The 15,364-nt window shown below is 37.8% G+C and overlaps 1 protein-coding gene across 4 annotated transcripts in view; it reads right to left on the bottom strand.

The window, feature by feature from the left end:
* CDK14 (cyclin dependent kinase 14) overlaps positions 1 to 15,364 on the bottom strand; it is a 614,270-nt gene that overhangs the window by 127,416 nt on the left and 471,490 nt on the right. For all 4 annotated transcript variants that reach the window (NM_001287135.2, NM_012395.3, NM_001287136.1 and 1 more), the window contains one exon: positions 3,695 to 3,743. In NM_001287135.2, coding sequence (NP_001274064.1) covers positions 3,695 to 3,743 — 49 coding nt within the window. The remainder of the gene's footprint in view (positions 1 to 3,694; positions 3,744 to 15,364) is intronic.

The following is a 15,364-nucleotide window of genomic DNA, read 5'->3' as shown; positions in this document are numbered from 1 at the left end:
AATAAATTAAAATTGTTACTTTGAAGTAAATAGAATTATAACAAAAATGATCAACAATGAAAAAAAAAAGTGAAAGTGGGGAAAGATGATTTAAGAACTCACTCAACTCAACTGCTCCTCCTAGTGAAATAACAGTGTTCTTACCTTCCTCTCACATTTTTAAACAGGGAAAGACATTTACAACTCTAGCTTACTTTGCAATATATTATTATGTTAGAAAATTTTAGATCGACTTAGAACATTAGGGAGAATGGAAAACAGGGTCTTTCAGTTTGTTGCGAATTCTCTGACTTAAATCTTAATGGTACACATCAGCTATAATGACAAGAAAAATACAATAGAGCACCACCAACATAAATACAGAGTGAAAGTTACGTTATTCCTCCGAATATTATTTTAAATACATTATGTTTTATGCATATGTAACTCAACTATCTAGCAAGTCACCTTTAAAATATGTCTTGGAAGTTAAACATCAAGTCAGATAAAATACTCAAGGAAAGTTCAAGAACACAAAGTTAGGAAACATTTCTAAATCTTTTAAATTCAGGTTGGAGACTCTGCTGGTACATTCAATTGTAGCAGGTAAGATTTTTCTTCTCTATTTTTGTGTTTCCAGAAAGGTACCTTTGTTTAAATGTCTCTGTATTTACTACACAATTTAGAATACCAATTTTTATAAGTTCTTAGGAGAAATCCAGTTTTACTTAACTAAGAGAGGATAAGCAGAACCATAACATGTGTGGGAACAAGCAGGAAAAGGTTAACCTGTGCCTATTCAAGTCTGTAGACGTGCTTCTTGTTACCAGCCACAAGCGGTCTTTTCCAGATCTGTCTTCTGTGACTTAGTGGTTTATCCTTAGTTCTCTTTTTGATACTTTCAAACCTCCGAAATCATTCAGCTGTTTAAAAGTTCCAAAACAAGCAAATGTGTTCCTGGAATCTTCCCCTTAACTTTGCTGGAGAGCATACACTAAGGCTTCTTCTCCAGCCAAAATAATAAAAGATCTTTTAAGTGGCTAAAATTCTTGGTTGATTGCACATACATGCCAATGTCAGACAACTATAAATAGAGAGATTTGGAAGAGAAATAGGGAGAGTATAACTGCAATGAAATAAAATAGAATGGTTTGAAGGCAGTCAGAAAACAGTACATGTTTTTATAAAATTAAGATTTGTCTCCCTTTAATCCACAATCCCCTTTATGGAGGAAGAGCCCACATGGATTATGCACTTCTAGTATGAGGGAATAAAAGGACTTTCCTTTTTTTTTAATATATATTTATTATTCTCAATCGCATAATTAAGATTTCTTCTTTCTATTATTCTTTTGAATTTGGATATCTGTTGGATCTTATATTTTCTCCCATTGCTGCTTTGTTTTCCCAGAACAATAAAAATATCTTTCAAAGGATGAAATTATGCCCATGGTTGCTGACATAAATGAAGTCAGCAGGGAATTGCCTAGGTGTTACTTAGGGCAGAGTTGGCCCCAAAATAAACTGGGTCTTTTGTTATAGCTATTCAAATAAACTTAAGGATTCATTTCTCAAGAAATTCCTACTCTCTTAGGCAGGTTAACATCTCCACTAGCTTCAATACCTAGGTTAATACATATTTTTAAAAGCATTGTTACTTAATTTTGAACAGTGACCTACTTTTTTATATTAACCCACCTATCTTATATTAACCCATCTAAACTGAATTCAAATTAGTTCTTGCAAATTAGTTCAATTTATTTTAAACCTATTACCACTGTACAAGAGAATTTAACAGTTGCTTCAGTTTAGTAATTGTGCTATAGACAAGCAAATTAGTTGGAAATAGAGAAAACCATCACTCGCGTAATAGTCTTTTAATGTAGTTCTTTTGAATTCTGATCTCACTCCTTAAGTGAAAGATGCTGAAATGCTGATGATGGTTGCAAGGACCATTTGGAGGAAGAATCAATAATATAATTAACGTCTCTGCATCTTAGTTCTCTTTAAATTGCCTTGGTTTGAATTGGCTAGAGGCTACAGCTTGGCTCTAAAGATTCAGCACTTAATACTGGAATACCAGAAAGTAGCATTTTAATATTTTTAGTAATGATTTTATTACTTAGTGTTTCTGAAATAAACCCTTAAGGCAAAACTTACAAGGACTTAAAAATAGCATCGTTCTAAACAAGTCATGTTCATAATTTTAAAATCTTACCTCAAGCTCAGCTTTTATCATTTTCCTTAAAATATTTAAAAAGTGGGACTAATGGTGGGACTCAGTTTATTAAATGCCTTTGAATTAATTCTAATGATAAATTCTGTAATTCTGTAATTCTAATTACCTATTCTCCAGAAATGCTGCTATGCTACAGTATGATAGTTTCAGATTTTCCTGTTACTTTAAATGTAGGTTTAGAGATTCAATGGCTTTATCAAGAATTGTTTCATAAAGTGGTTATCTGGTTGGAAGGAATGATGTCTTATTCCTATGAGAGGAATGTGTTTGATCATTTAATTAAGGTAGGAACTGTATACTGTATATATTATCTGGTGTATAAAAGCACTTAATTAAAATATGTTAGACCAGTGATCAGGAAATGGGGAGGCAGAGAAGAGGAGCATGCACAGGAAGCTCCCAGGAGAGGGAATGCTTCCCAGGGGAGCCTTGAGGTTAAGAACTGGCTCTTCAAATGGCACATGCAAAGCCCCAGGTTAGACAAAAATGATTATACCTATGTGTTATTCGAGGTACAAATTTAATAAAAATAAATGGCCAAATCCCTAAAGTAAACTACCGCAGAATTTAATGTATTCATTTCATGAGTTCCTCGCCATTAGCTGTCCACTGTATCCACTGAGAGCACGGATTAGCAGCATTTTAATATGAAAAAGTTTTTTGTTATTTTTTTCATAACTGGGAGTATCCAAAATTAAACGTGATAACAGTGAAAAAATGTGAGTATAACACTAAATTCCAAGTAGACAAAATTTTATGACAAATTACAGTTTATTTAATCAAACCAGTTCCAGTTGTCTTTTATCCAGCATAAACCTTGAAATGTGACACTCACAAGTAAACGGGAATGACTAAATTACTGTTTCCCACTTCTAATGATTTTCTAACACATTGGCTTGCAATAAAAGTCTCCTGAGTAACTACAAAATCCAGATCTTCAGATTTTATGAAATCTCAAAAACAACAAATAAAATGAAGTAAGGTCAGATGAGAGAACAGACATGAAATAAATGGAGAACACACACTTCAGTCATAAATGCATTTAGCTTCCCAATAAGGCGTAAGGGAAAAATATGCGAAGTGAAAAAATCTGAAAGATCAACTTTAGCTCAAAAGTTGTCACCAACATCATTTATATTAGAAAGTCAGTCATTATATTATATTTTCTAAATGCTATGTTGCTGATACAAAAATATTTCTTGGAATTTAGCTGCAAGAAGGCTGACCACAAGGAATTTTAGGATTTACAGTTCTGAAGCAATGCCACATCGCTCTAGGAACTCAAATTCATACAGTGTTGGCTCAGGCTGAACATAGTAGCTAGCACACAGTTAAGGTTTAACAGCAGTTTAATGGTTAAATGAATGAATAAATACACAGCAGGATGAATCAACAATGCCATGAAAAACGTATGAGAAGAGTTGTAAATATTAAAAGAGAAAGAAAGAGAATGAGCACAATCTGTATAAAGACTTACTTATTCCATGCTTGTCTAAGGTTTTTAGAGCTGTACAGGGTAAAGCGTTCTGAAATAAAAAAGAAAAATGATAAACAATCTTTGTATCAAATGTATATATTACAAGTATGTTGAAAAAACTTCAACTTTAAAAAAAGAGTGGGCTACTCAGTCAGTTAGGCCAGCATAGTAAGGTCTTCACTTTTATACTGGGCAGTTATAAAGAGTAAAACAGGAAGATAACAACATATTAAACGGTGAAGCATTGTTTTCTTTAGTCTAAGATGGTTTATTTCATAATTTGGCTTCCTAATAACTATTTCTTAGAACAACTAAGTTTTAATTGAGTTGAAAAAAGAAATGCAAATTCCAAACCTCCAACCTGTAAGTAGATTTACAAAAGCATATCAACACATTTCGTCAAGTGAGACTTGCTGTTTTTTTCCTATGATGATTTCTCTGACCAAATACAATAATATTGGGTCTCCTTTCCTATATTGTATGGTATTTATACATGCTCAAAGCCAAACTACCAGGGTCCTATACCGTATATTTACATTTATCAGTGAACAATCTTTAGATTTGTTTTAGTTTAAAAAGGAACATGTTTGTTTTACCAAGTTAAACAATCAAGTGATACAGAATAGACATTATAATCTCTTCAGCTGCAAATTCTTTCACTTCTGATGATATACCAATTGTTAATGATTTGCTATGTCCCTTTTCACATATTTTTTTGTTTATGAAATACACCCATCCTTATGTACGAACATATATACCATTGATTTTTTGAACGGATTTTACAATAAACATTACCCTTGAAACTCTATTGGCACTTAACAAAATATACTGGATAGTCCTTCAAATCAAGAATATATGTAACAATTTTTTTTTTCAGACAGAGCCTTGCTCTGTTGCCCACGCTGTAGTGCAATGGCCCAATCTCAGCTCACTGCAACCTCCGCCTCCCGGATTCAAGCGATTCTCCTGCCTCAGCCTCCCAAGTAGCTGGAATTACAGGCATGTGCTGCCACACCCAGCTAATTTTTGTATTTTTAGTAGAGACAGGGTGTCATCATGCTGGCCAGGCTGGTCTCGAATTCCTGACCTCAGGTGATCGACCTGCCTTGGCCTCCCAAAGTGCTGGGATTACACAAGTGAGCCACTGCGCCTGGCCTGTAACAATTGTTTTAAAATCGTATAACGTTCTATAAAATAGAAGTACCATAATTTATTTAACTGTTCTCCCATTGATGAACCTTTAAGTAGTTTCCAATTTCTTTTCCCTTACAAACAATACTTCAGCAAATATCCTTGTACATGTCTCTCTACCTACAGATGCTTTCATTTCTGTTGGATAGATTCCCCAATATAGAATTGCTTGGCAAACGGTATGCATATTTTACATTTTAATAAATGCCGACAGAGTACTTTTCATTTTCCCACCAGTGATGAAAAAGTATGTCACTTTCTCCATACGTCTTCTAGCATTGGTTGTTATCAGTTTTTTACATGTTGCCAAAGCTACACTTGATAAAACATTCTTGGACTTCTTTTCATACGCTTTCTGGCCATTTACATTTCTTCTACTGTTTCAAATTTCACTTTTCATAGCTGGTACCAAATTTAATATTGGATTCTTGGTTTTTTATCAAGGTACCAATTTTAATATTGGATTCTTGGTAATCAGTTTATAGAATTTTTTTGTATATGATCAAGTTTGCCCGTGTGTGTGTGTGTGTGTGTGTGTGTGTGTGTATAAAAGTGAAATAAGTATACACTTTTTTCCACATAAAAATTTAAATTTTTATTTAGTAAAATAAATTATTATTTTTCTTTTTTACTTTACTTTACGTTCCAGGATACATGTGCAAGACATGCAGGTTTGTTATGTAGGTATACTTGTGCCATGGTGGTTTGCTGCACCTATCTACCCGTCATCTAGGTTTTAAGCCCTGCATGCATTAGCTATTTGTCCTGATGCTCTCCCTCCCCTCGCCCCCTGACTCCCCAACAGGCCCCTGTGTGTGATATTTCCCTCGCTGTGTCCATATGTTCACATTGTTAAATTCCCACTTACGAGTCAGAACATGCTTGGTTTTCTGTTTATGTGTTAGTTTGATGAGGATGATGGGTTCCAGCTTCATCCATGTCCCTGCAAAGGACATGATCTCATTCCTTTTTATGGCTACGTAGTATTCCATGGTTAATATGTACCACATTTTCTTTATCCAGTCTATCATTGATGGGCATTTGGGTTGGTTCCATGTCTTTGCTATTGTAAATAGTGCTGCAATAAACATACATGTGCATGTGTCTTTATAGCAGAATCATTTATATTCCTTTGGGTATATACCCAGTAATGGGATTGCTGGGTCAAATGGTATTTCTGGTTCTAGATCCTTGAGGAATCACCACACTGTCTTCCACCATGATTGAACTAATTCACATTCCCACTAACAGTGTAAAAGTGTTCCTATTTCTCCTCAGCCTCACCAGCAGCTACTGTATCTTGACTTTTTAATAATTGCCATTCTGACAGGCATGAGATGGTCTCATTATGGTTTTGATTTGCAATTCTCTAATGATCAGTGATGTTGAACTTTTTTTCATATGTTTGTTGGCTGTATAAATGTCTTCTTTTGAGAAATTTCTGTTTGTATCCTTTGCCCACTTTTTGATGGGGTTGTTTTTTCCTTGTAAATCTGTTTAAGTTCCTTGTAGATTCCACATATTAGACCTTTGTCAGATGGGTAGATTGCAAAAATGTTCCCCCATTCTGTTGCCTGTTCATTCTGTTCACTCTATTCATTCTTTTGCTGTGCAGAAGCTCTTTAGTTTAATTAGATCCCATTTGTCAATTTTAGCTTTTGTTAAAATTGCTTTTGGCATTTTTGTCACGAAATCTTTGCCCATGCGTAAGTCCTGAATGGTATTACCTGGGATTTTTTCTAGGGTTTTTATGATTTGGGGCTTTATATTTAGGTCTTTAATTCATTTTGAGTTAATTTTTGTATAAGGTGTAAGGAAGGGGTCCAGTTTCAGTTTTCTGCATATGGCTAGCCAGTTTTCCCAGCATCACTTATTAAACAGGGAATCCTTTTCCCATAGCTTGTTTTTGTCAGGTTTGTCGAAGATCAGATGGTTATAGATGTGTGGCATTGTTTCTGAGGTTTCTGTTCCATTCCATTGGTCTGTATGTCTGTTTTGGTACCAGTACCATGATTTTTTTTTTTTTTTTTTTTTTTTTTTTTTTTTTGGTTACTGTAGCACTGTAGTATAGTTTGAAGTCAGGTAGCATGATGCCTCCAGCTTTGTTCTTTTTGCTCAGGATTGTCTTGGCTATACAGGCTCTTTTTTGGTTTTATATAAAATTTAAAGTAGTTTTTTTTTCTAATTCTGTGAGGAATGTCAATGATAGCTTGATGGGGATAGCTTTGAATCTATAAATTACTTTGGGGAGTATGGCCATTTTCATGATATTGATTCTTCCTATCCACGAGCATGGAATGTTTTTCCATTTGTTTGTGTCCTCTCTTATTTTCTTGAGCAGTGGTTTGTAGTTCTCCTTGAAGAGGCCCTTCACATCCCTTGTTAGCTGTATTCCTAGGTATTTTATTCTCTTTATGGCAATTGTGAATAAGAGTTCATTCATCATTTGTCTCTCTGTTTGTCTATTGTTGGTACGTAGGAATGCTTGTGATTTCTGTACATTGATTTTGTATGCTGAGACTTTGCTGAAGTTCCTTATCAGCTTAAGAAGTTTTTGGGCTGATACAATAGGGTTTTCTAAATACAGAATCATGACATCTGCAAACAGAGGCAATTTGACTTCCTCTCTTCCTATTTGAATATCCTTTATTTCTTTCTCTTGCCTGATTGCCCTGGCCAGGACTTCCAATACTATGTTGAATAGGAGTGTTGAGAGAGAGCATCCTTGTCTTGTGACGGTTTTCAAAGGGAATGCTTCCAGCTTTTGCCCATTCAGTATGATATTGGCTATGGGTTTGTCATAAATAGCTCTTATTATTTGGAGGTACTTCCATCAATACCTAGTTTATTGAGAGTTTTTAACATGAAGCGATGTTGAATTTTATCGAAGGCCGTTTCTGCATCTATTGAGTTAATCATGTGGTTTTTTTCATTGGTTCTGCTTATATGATGGATTACATTTATTGATTTGCATATGTTGAAGCAGCCTTGCATCCTGGGGATGAAGCTTTTTGATGTGCTGCTGGATTTGGTTTGTCAGTATTTTATTGAGGATTTTTGTTTCAATGCTCATCAAGGATATTGGCCTGAAGTTTGCTTTTTTGTGTGTGTTTCCACCTGGTTTTGGTATCAGGATGATGCTGGCCTCATAAAATGTGTTAGGAAGGAGTCCCTCCTTTTCAATTGTTTGGAATAGTTTCAGAAGGAATAGTACCAGCTCCTCTCTGTATCTCTGGTAGAATTTGGCTGTGAATCCATCTGGTCCTGGGCTTTTTTTGGTTTGTAGGCTACGAATTACTGCCCCAATTTCAGAACTTGTTATTGGTCTATTCAGAGATTCAACTTCTTCCTGGTTTAATCTTGAGAGGGTGTATGTGTTATGAGTTTATCCATTTCTTCTAGATTTTCTAGTTTATTTGTGTAGAGGTGTTTACAGTATTCTCTGATGGTAGTTTGTACTTCTCTGGGGTCACTGGTGATATCCCATTTATCATTTGTTATTGTGTCTATTTGATTCTTCTCTCTTTTCATTAGTCTATCTAGTGCTCTATTTTGTTAATTTTTTCAAAAAAACCAGCTCCTGGATACATTCATCTTTTGAAGGGTTTTTTTGTGTCTCCATATCCTTCAGTTCTCCTCTGATCTTAGTTATTTCTTGTCTTCTGCTAGCTTTAGGATTTGTTTGCTCTTGCTTCTCTAGTTCCTTTAATTGTGATACTTGGGTGTCGATTTGAGCTCTTTCTAACTTTCTGATGTGAGCATTTAGTGCAATGTTTCCCTCTTAACACTTCTTTAGCTGCATCCCAGAGATTCTGGTACATTGTCTCTTTGTTCTCATTGGTTTCAACGAACTTCTTGATTTCTGCCTTAATTTCATTATTTACCCAGGAGTCATTCAGGGGCAGGCTATTCAATTTCCATGTAATTGTGTGGTTTTGAGTGAGTTTCTTAATCCTGAGATCTAATTTGATTGTACTGTGGTCTGAGAGAATGTTTTGTTATGATTTCAGTTCTTTTGCATTTGCTGAGGAGTGATTCCACTTCTAATTATTTAGTTGTTTTCTGAAAAAGTGTCATGTGGGACTGAGAAGAATGTATATTCTGTGGATTTGGGGTGGAGAGTTCTGTAGCTGTCTATTAGGTCCACTTGATCCAGAGCTGAGTTCAAGTTCTGAATATCCTTGTTAATTTTCTGTCTCATTAATCTAATATTGACACTGGGGTGTTAAAGTCTCCTAGTATTATTTTGTGGGAGTCTAAAACTCTTTCTAGGTCTCTAAGAACTTGTTTTATGAATCTAGGTGCTCCTGTATTGGGTACATATATATTTTGGATAGTTAGTTGTTCTTTTTCAATTGTACTGTTTATCATCATGTAATGCCCTTCTTTGTCTTTTCTGATCTTTGTTGGTTTAAAGTCTGTTTTGTCAAGAGACTAGGACTGCAACCTCTGCTTTTTTTTTTTCTTTTCATTTGCTTGGTAAATTTTCCTCCATCCCTTATTTTGGCCCATGTGTGTCTCTGCACATGAGATGGGTCTCGTGGGTACCGCACACCGATGGGTTTTGATTCTTTATCCAGTTTGCCAGTCTGTCTTCTAATTGGGGCATGTAGCCCATTTACATTTAAGGTTAATATTGTTACATGTGAATTTGATCCTGTCATCATGATGCTATCTGGTTATTTTGCACACTAGTTGATGCAGTTTCTTCACAACATCATTGGTCTTTATATTTTGGTGTGTTTTTTGCAGTGGCTACTACCAGTTTTTCCTTTCCATATTTAGTGCTTCCTTCAGGAGCTCTTGCAAGACAGGCCTGGTGGTGAAAAAATCCCTCAGCATTTGCTTGTCTGAAAATGATTTTATTTCTCCTTCATTTATGAAGCTTAGTTTGGCTGGATATGAAATTCTGGGTTGAAAATTCTTTAAGAATGTTGAATATTGGCCCCCACTCTCTTCTGGCTTGCAGGGTTTCTGCTGAGAGATCAGCTGTTAGTCTGATGGGCTTCCCTTTGTAGGTCACCTGGCCTTTCTCTCTGGCTGCCCTTAACATTTTTTCCTTCATTTTGACCTTGAAGAATCTGTTGATCATGTGTCTTGGGGTTGGTATCTTTATGGTGTTCTCTGTATTTCCTGAATTTGAATGTTGGCCTGTCTTGCTAGGTTGGGGAAGTACTCCTAGATAATATCCTGAAATGTGTTTTCCAACTTGGTTCCATTCTCCCTGTCTCTTTCAGGTACTCCAATCAATTGTAGGTTCTGTCTTTTTACATAGTTCCATATTTCTTGGAAGTTTTGTTTGTTCTTTTTCATTCTTTTTTTCTCTAATCTTGTGTGGCTGCCTTATTTCAGCAAGATGGCCTTCCAACTCTGATATTCTTTCTTCTGCTTGATCAATTTGGCTATTGATACTTGTGTATGCTTCACGAAGGTCTCATGCTGTTTTTCATCTCCATCATGTCATTTATGTTCCTGTCTAAACTGGTTATTCTAGTTAGAAGCTCCTGTAAGGTTTTTATCAAGGTTCTTAGCTTCTTTGCATTGAGTTAGTACATGCTCCTTTTAGCACAGCAGAGTTTATTACTACCCACCTTCTGAAGCCTACTTCATCCATCTCATCTTCTGTCCAGTTCTGCGCCATTGCTGGAGAGCTGTTGCGATCGTTTGAAGGAGTAGAGGCACTCTGGCCTTTTGGGTTTTCAGCATCTTTTTGTTGATTCTTTCTCATCTTCATGAGTTTGTCTAGTGTCAATCTTTGAGGCTGCTGACCCTTGGAGGAGGTTTTTGCGGGAACATTTTTGTTGATGCTGTTGTTGCTTTCTATTTGTTTGTTTGTTTTTTCTTTCAATGGTCAGGTCCCTCTTCTGTATGGCTGCTGTGGTTTGCTGGGCATTTACTTCAGGCCCTATTTATCTGTTTCACTCCTGCACCTGGAGTGAACTTGAGGAGGCTGGAGAACGGCAAAGATGGGTACCTGCTCCTTCCTCTGAGATATCTGACCTCAAGGGGCACCTACCTGATGCTAATAGAAACATTCCTATATAGGGTGTCTGACAACCCGTTAAGAGGGTCTCGCCCAGTTGGGTGGCACGGGGAGCAGGACCCATTTAATGAAGCACTTTGGTTGTCCCTTGGTGGAGGGGGTGTGCCGAGCTGGATGGAAACCTACTCATCTGGGCTGCCTGGGTTCCTCAGAACTAGCAGGAGGAAAGACTAAGTCTGCTGGTCTGCAGAGACTATGGCCACCCCTCCCCCTAGGGGCTCAGGCCCAGAGAGATCAGAGTTCTGCCCCTGAGCCCCTGCCTGGAGTTGTTGGAGTTCCTGCAGGGATGCCCCGTCCCCATGAGAAAAGATGAGTCAGGGTCAGGTCTGAAGAGGTACTCTGGCCACAATCTGCCACAGCCAGTGTGTTGGGCTGTGGGGAATCCCTCTTGGGACCAAGCCATCCAGCCTCCCTGGCTTCAGCAGGGGAAGAGCATGGCCTAGAGCTATAGAGATGGCTGCTGCCCTTACCCCGCCCTGGGAGCTTAGTGTGTTAGGCAGCTAGCAGTCCCAGTGTTGGCTGCTGCCCCTCCCTGAAGGAGCACAGAGGGCTTAGACAGCAGGCACCCGCAGCTGTGGTGATGGCCGGCCCTCCCACCAGGAGCTTGGCAGGCTTAAGCAGATTCTAGCTTAGTGGCTGTTGAGAATCTGAGCAGCTCCATGGTTGGGACCCTAGGCCCCGGTGGCATGGGCTCATGAGTGGGATCTTCCGATCCGTGGGTTGCACAGTTCCGTGGAAAAAGCACAGTTTCCCAGGCTGGGTAGCACGCTCACTCACTGCCTCCCTTGGCTGGGGGGGTGAGGGGTCCCCTGCCCCATGTGGCTCTCAGGTGGGCCGCCGCACTACACTGCTCTTCCTTCCTCTCGGTGGATCATGCCAGCTGCCTGGTCTGTCCCCATGACAGAACCTGGATACCTTGGTTGCCAGTGCAGGATAGCAAGCTGTTTTAGTTCTTTTTGATGAGAGCCTCAGATCACCACTGCTTCTAGTCGGCCATCTTGGCCCTGCCCCAAATTATTCTTTTTCTTTTGGCTTTCTTGTCTTGCTTAAAGAAAAAGACCCTGATCTTGATTTTATACAAACAATAACTTCATTTTTCTCCTACTTATTATTATTTTTTTAACAAATTGTTACTTCTTGGCTTTACTATCTGGAATTTATTTTGTAAATATGGTATGACATTTTCTTTGTTCAAGGAGGACAGACAATTATGCCAGGATTCGGTAAAAATCAATCATTATGGATCACTCTTTCTCTGATAATTTGAAGTGACACCTTTATCCTATATTACTTTCCAAAATATATAAGAGCCTGGACTCTTTAATACTTATCTATTTATGTCAGTATCATAGTGTTTTAATTAGAGTGGCTCTTCTTATCTAGGAAATGTCTTTTCTTACTAGTATTCTTTTTTTTTTGGTAAAAATTATTGGGGCAAGTTTTGAACATTTCTTTCTCTTTTTTTTAACATTTCCTTTTTTATTTTTAAAGACAAGGTCTTGCTCTGTCACCCAGGCTGGAGTGCAATGGCATAATCACGCTCACTGCAGCCTTGACCTCCCAAGCTCAACTGATCCTCTTACCTCAGCCTCCCAAGTAGCTGGGACTACAGGAGCATGCCACCATGCCTGGCTAACTTAAAATTTTTTTGGTAGAGGTGAAGTTTCACTATGTTGCCCATGCTGGTCTCAAATTCCTGGGCTCAAGCAATCCTCCTGCTTTGGACTCCCAAAGGGCTGGAATTATAGGCATGAGCCACAAAGCCCAGCCTGAACATTTCCTTTTTCATTAATTCCACACATAGTTAATGGTTCCTAATATGTGCTAAGGATTCTTCTCATGCTGAGAATATAGGCATGAACAAAACAGAACAAGTCTCTTTCTTCACGGAGCTCTTATTCTAGAAACATGAGACAGACAATAAAAACATAAACACCACCATCACCATCACTACCACCACCACCACCACCACCACCAGCAGCAGCAGCAGCAGCAGCAACAACAAAATAAATGAGTTAATTTTAGAAAGTGGTAAGTGTTCTAGCAAAGCAAACAAGGAGATCTGATGTAGACCAGTGTGAGAACACTTTAGGTTCTTCTTATAAGGACAGACCAGTTTAAAATAAAACAGTTAGTCAACACAATACACAGGCTGGGTGTGGTGGCTCATGGCTATAATCCCAGCATTTTGGGAGGCCGAGGTGGGAGGATTGCTTGGGCCTTGGAGTTTGCAACCAGCTTGGCCAACACAGGGAGACCCACCTCTACAAAAAAATTGAAAAATCAGCTAGGTGTGGTGGTGTGTACCTGCAGTTCTAGCTACTCAGGAGGCTAATGTGGGAGGATCCCTTGAGTTTGGAAGGTAGAGGCTGCACTAAGCCATGATTGTGCCACCGTACTCCAGCCTGAGTGACAGAGCAAGACCCTGTGCTAACAAACAACAAACAAAAAATTTTAAAAAATGTTTCCATTGGAAATCTGATTGTGTCCTATTAAAATATATATTAACCTGAAAAGGATGATGTAAAACGTTTGTGTCTTTCTATTTAGACAGCATTCACATATACATCCTTCAGTAACATTAGTTTTTTAAAGTATTGATCTTATTTCTTTTTAATGATTTAATACTTATTAGGCTTAATTCTGCTTAATAATGGTTGGTGTCCTTTTTCAGTGTTGTCTGCTTTTTTTAAATTTAAATTTAAATTTTTTTAGAGATGGTGTCTCACTCTGGATGGAGTGCAGTGGCACAATCATAGCTCACTGTAGCCTTGAATTCTTGGGCTCAAGGGATCCTTCCACCTCAGCCTCCCAAGTACCTGAGACTACAGGCACTCACCACCATGCCTGACTAATTATGTATTTATCTATTTTTAGAGATGGCATCTCACTGTTGCTCAGGCTGGTCACAAACTCCTGGCCTCAAGCGATCCTCCCGCCTCAGCCTCCTGAGTAGCTGAGATTACAAGCACGAGCCGCTGTGCCTGACTTCTTGTCTGCTTTTAATTATAAGTTTTTAAAGGAGAAAATAAAAATGACTTATATTGCTTTGTTATGGTATGTTTCATGTACAAGAATACCATTGGATAAGAAGAACAAAAAGAAAAACACACACTCAGTTTCCTATCTTTAAACACTATGCAATTATTTATTCATTCATTTCAACTACTATGTATTGAGCAACTACTGTGTGTCAGGTATATAATTCTTGGGGCTGAAGACACAGCAGAGAAACAAACCAAAAAACCTTTCTATTTGCAGGGGGCTTGCATTCCCATAACGAGTATGCTAGGCTGGAATGTGCTGGAGGCCAGGATAGCTGCATATGACATAGAACCCAGGAGAGAGAGGTGGAGGCTGAGACAGAGACAGGCAGAAGGGTTTGTGGCCTTTAAGATATGATCTGGTATGGGCTTTTTTTTTTTTTTTTTTTTTTTTTAATATAAGGTATCACTCTGGCTTCTATTTGGAAAGTACACTACAGAAGGCAAGGTTGGAAGCAGGGAGCCCAACAAAAGGTTATTACTGTCCAGGAGAGAGACAATATGACTTGGGCTATGGGAACCGAGTGAATGCAGTGAGAAGGAGATCAGAGTCGGAAAATGCTTTGGAGGATGAACAAGTGAGATCTGCTGGTGAGTTAGAAATGAAGTGCGACAGAAAGGGAGGAGTCGATGATTCATAGAGCACTGACTGATCTCCAATTTCCAGGTTACAAAGATGTGGAATTTCACACACAACTCAATTATTATTTGGAGAAGAAATTAATCTTTCTGTGGTAATTCAGAAGGTATATAAAGAGGAGTTCTCCTGGAGTTTTGGAGTTATCAATCAAACAGGGGTAATTGACAAAATATTTAATAACCTGTTAGGCACAGGCATTGACCAGTCAGAACAGAAACTAGCCATTATGCAATAAAGGTGTGCATTAGCTGAAGATCAGCCCCGATTACAAACATCCATTGTTCTACAGACACAGGCAAAAGGGCTTACCAACAAATGTGTATTTATTTGTTTCAAAGGAATGTCTAATTTCTGAGTTTATTCTCTACTAGGCTGCATTTTACAAGATGCAACATAATTCAGCCAGTTGGTGTAGAATAGGAATTTAAGGGCATAGTCTAGGTTTGAGGATTAACTGACAAAGGAGAAACAGGAGGAACAGTTCTTTGTATGAAGTTCTTTTTTAAAAAATTATCTAAAGTTTGGTATTAAGAAAGCAAGAGACATTTTAAAAATTAATTAAGTCAAATGCCCTCATAAAACAAATTTGATTTCCTTAACTTTGTACTATCCGCAAAGCAAGCTTAATAATTTGCTATGATTTCAGGATGAATAGGAATTCTATTACAGATAAAAGTAATACAATCTTGCATTTATAAGTAAATTATTATTCTTAGCAATTAATTGCACATAAATATTAGTTCTAAGAATTA

The sequence above is a fragment of the Homo sapiens genome, chromosome 7, assembly GCF_000001405.40.
Source record: "Homo sapiens chromosome 7, GRCh38.p14 Primary Assembly".
Classification (NCBI taxonomy): domain Eukaryota; kingdom Metazoa; phylum Chordata; class Mammalia; order Primates; family Hominidae; genus Homo; species Homo sapiens.
Note: the sequence above shows the minus strand (reverse complement) of the source record. Positions and strands in the feature narration are given on the sequence as shown.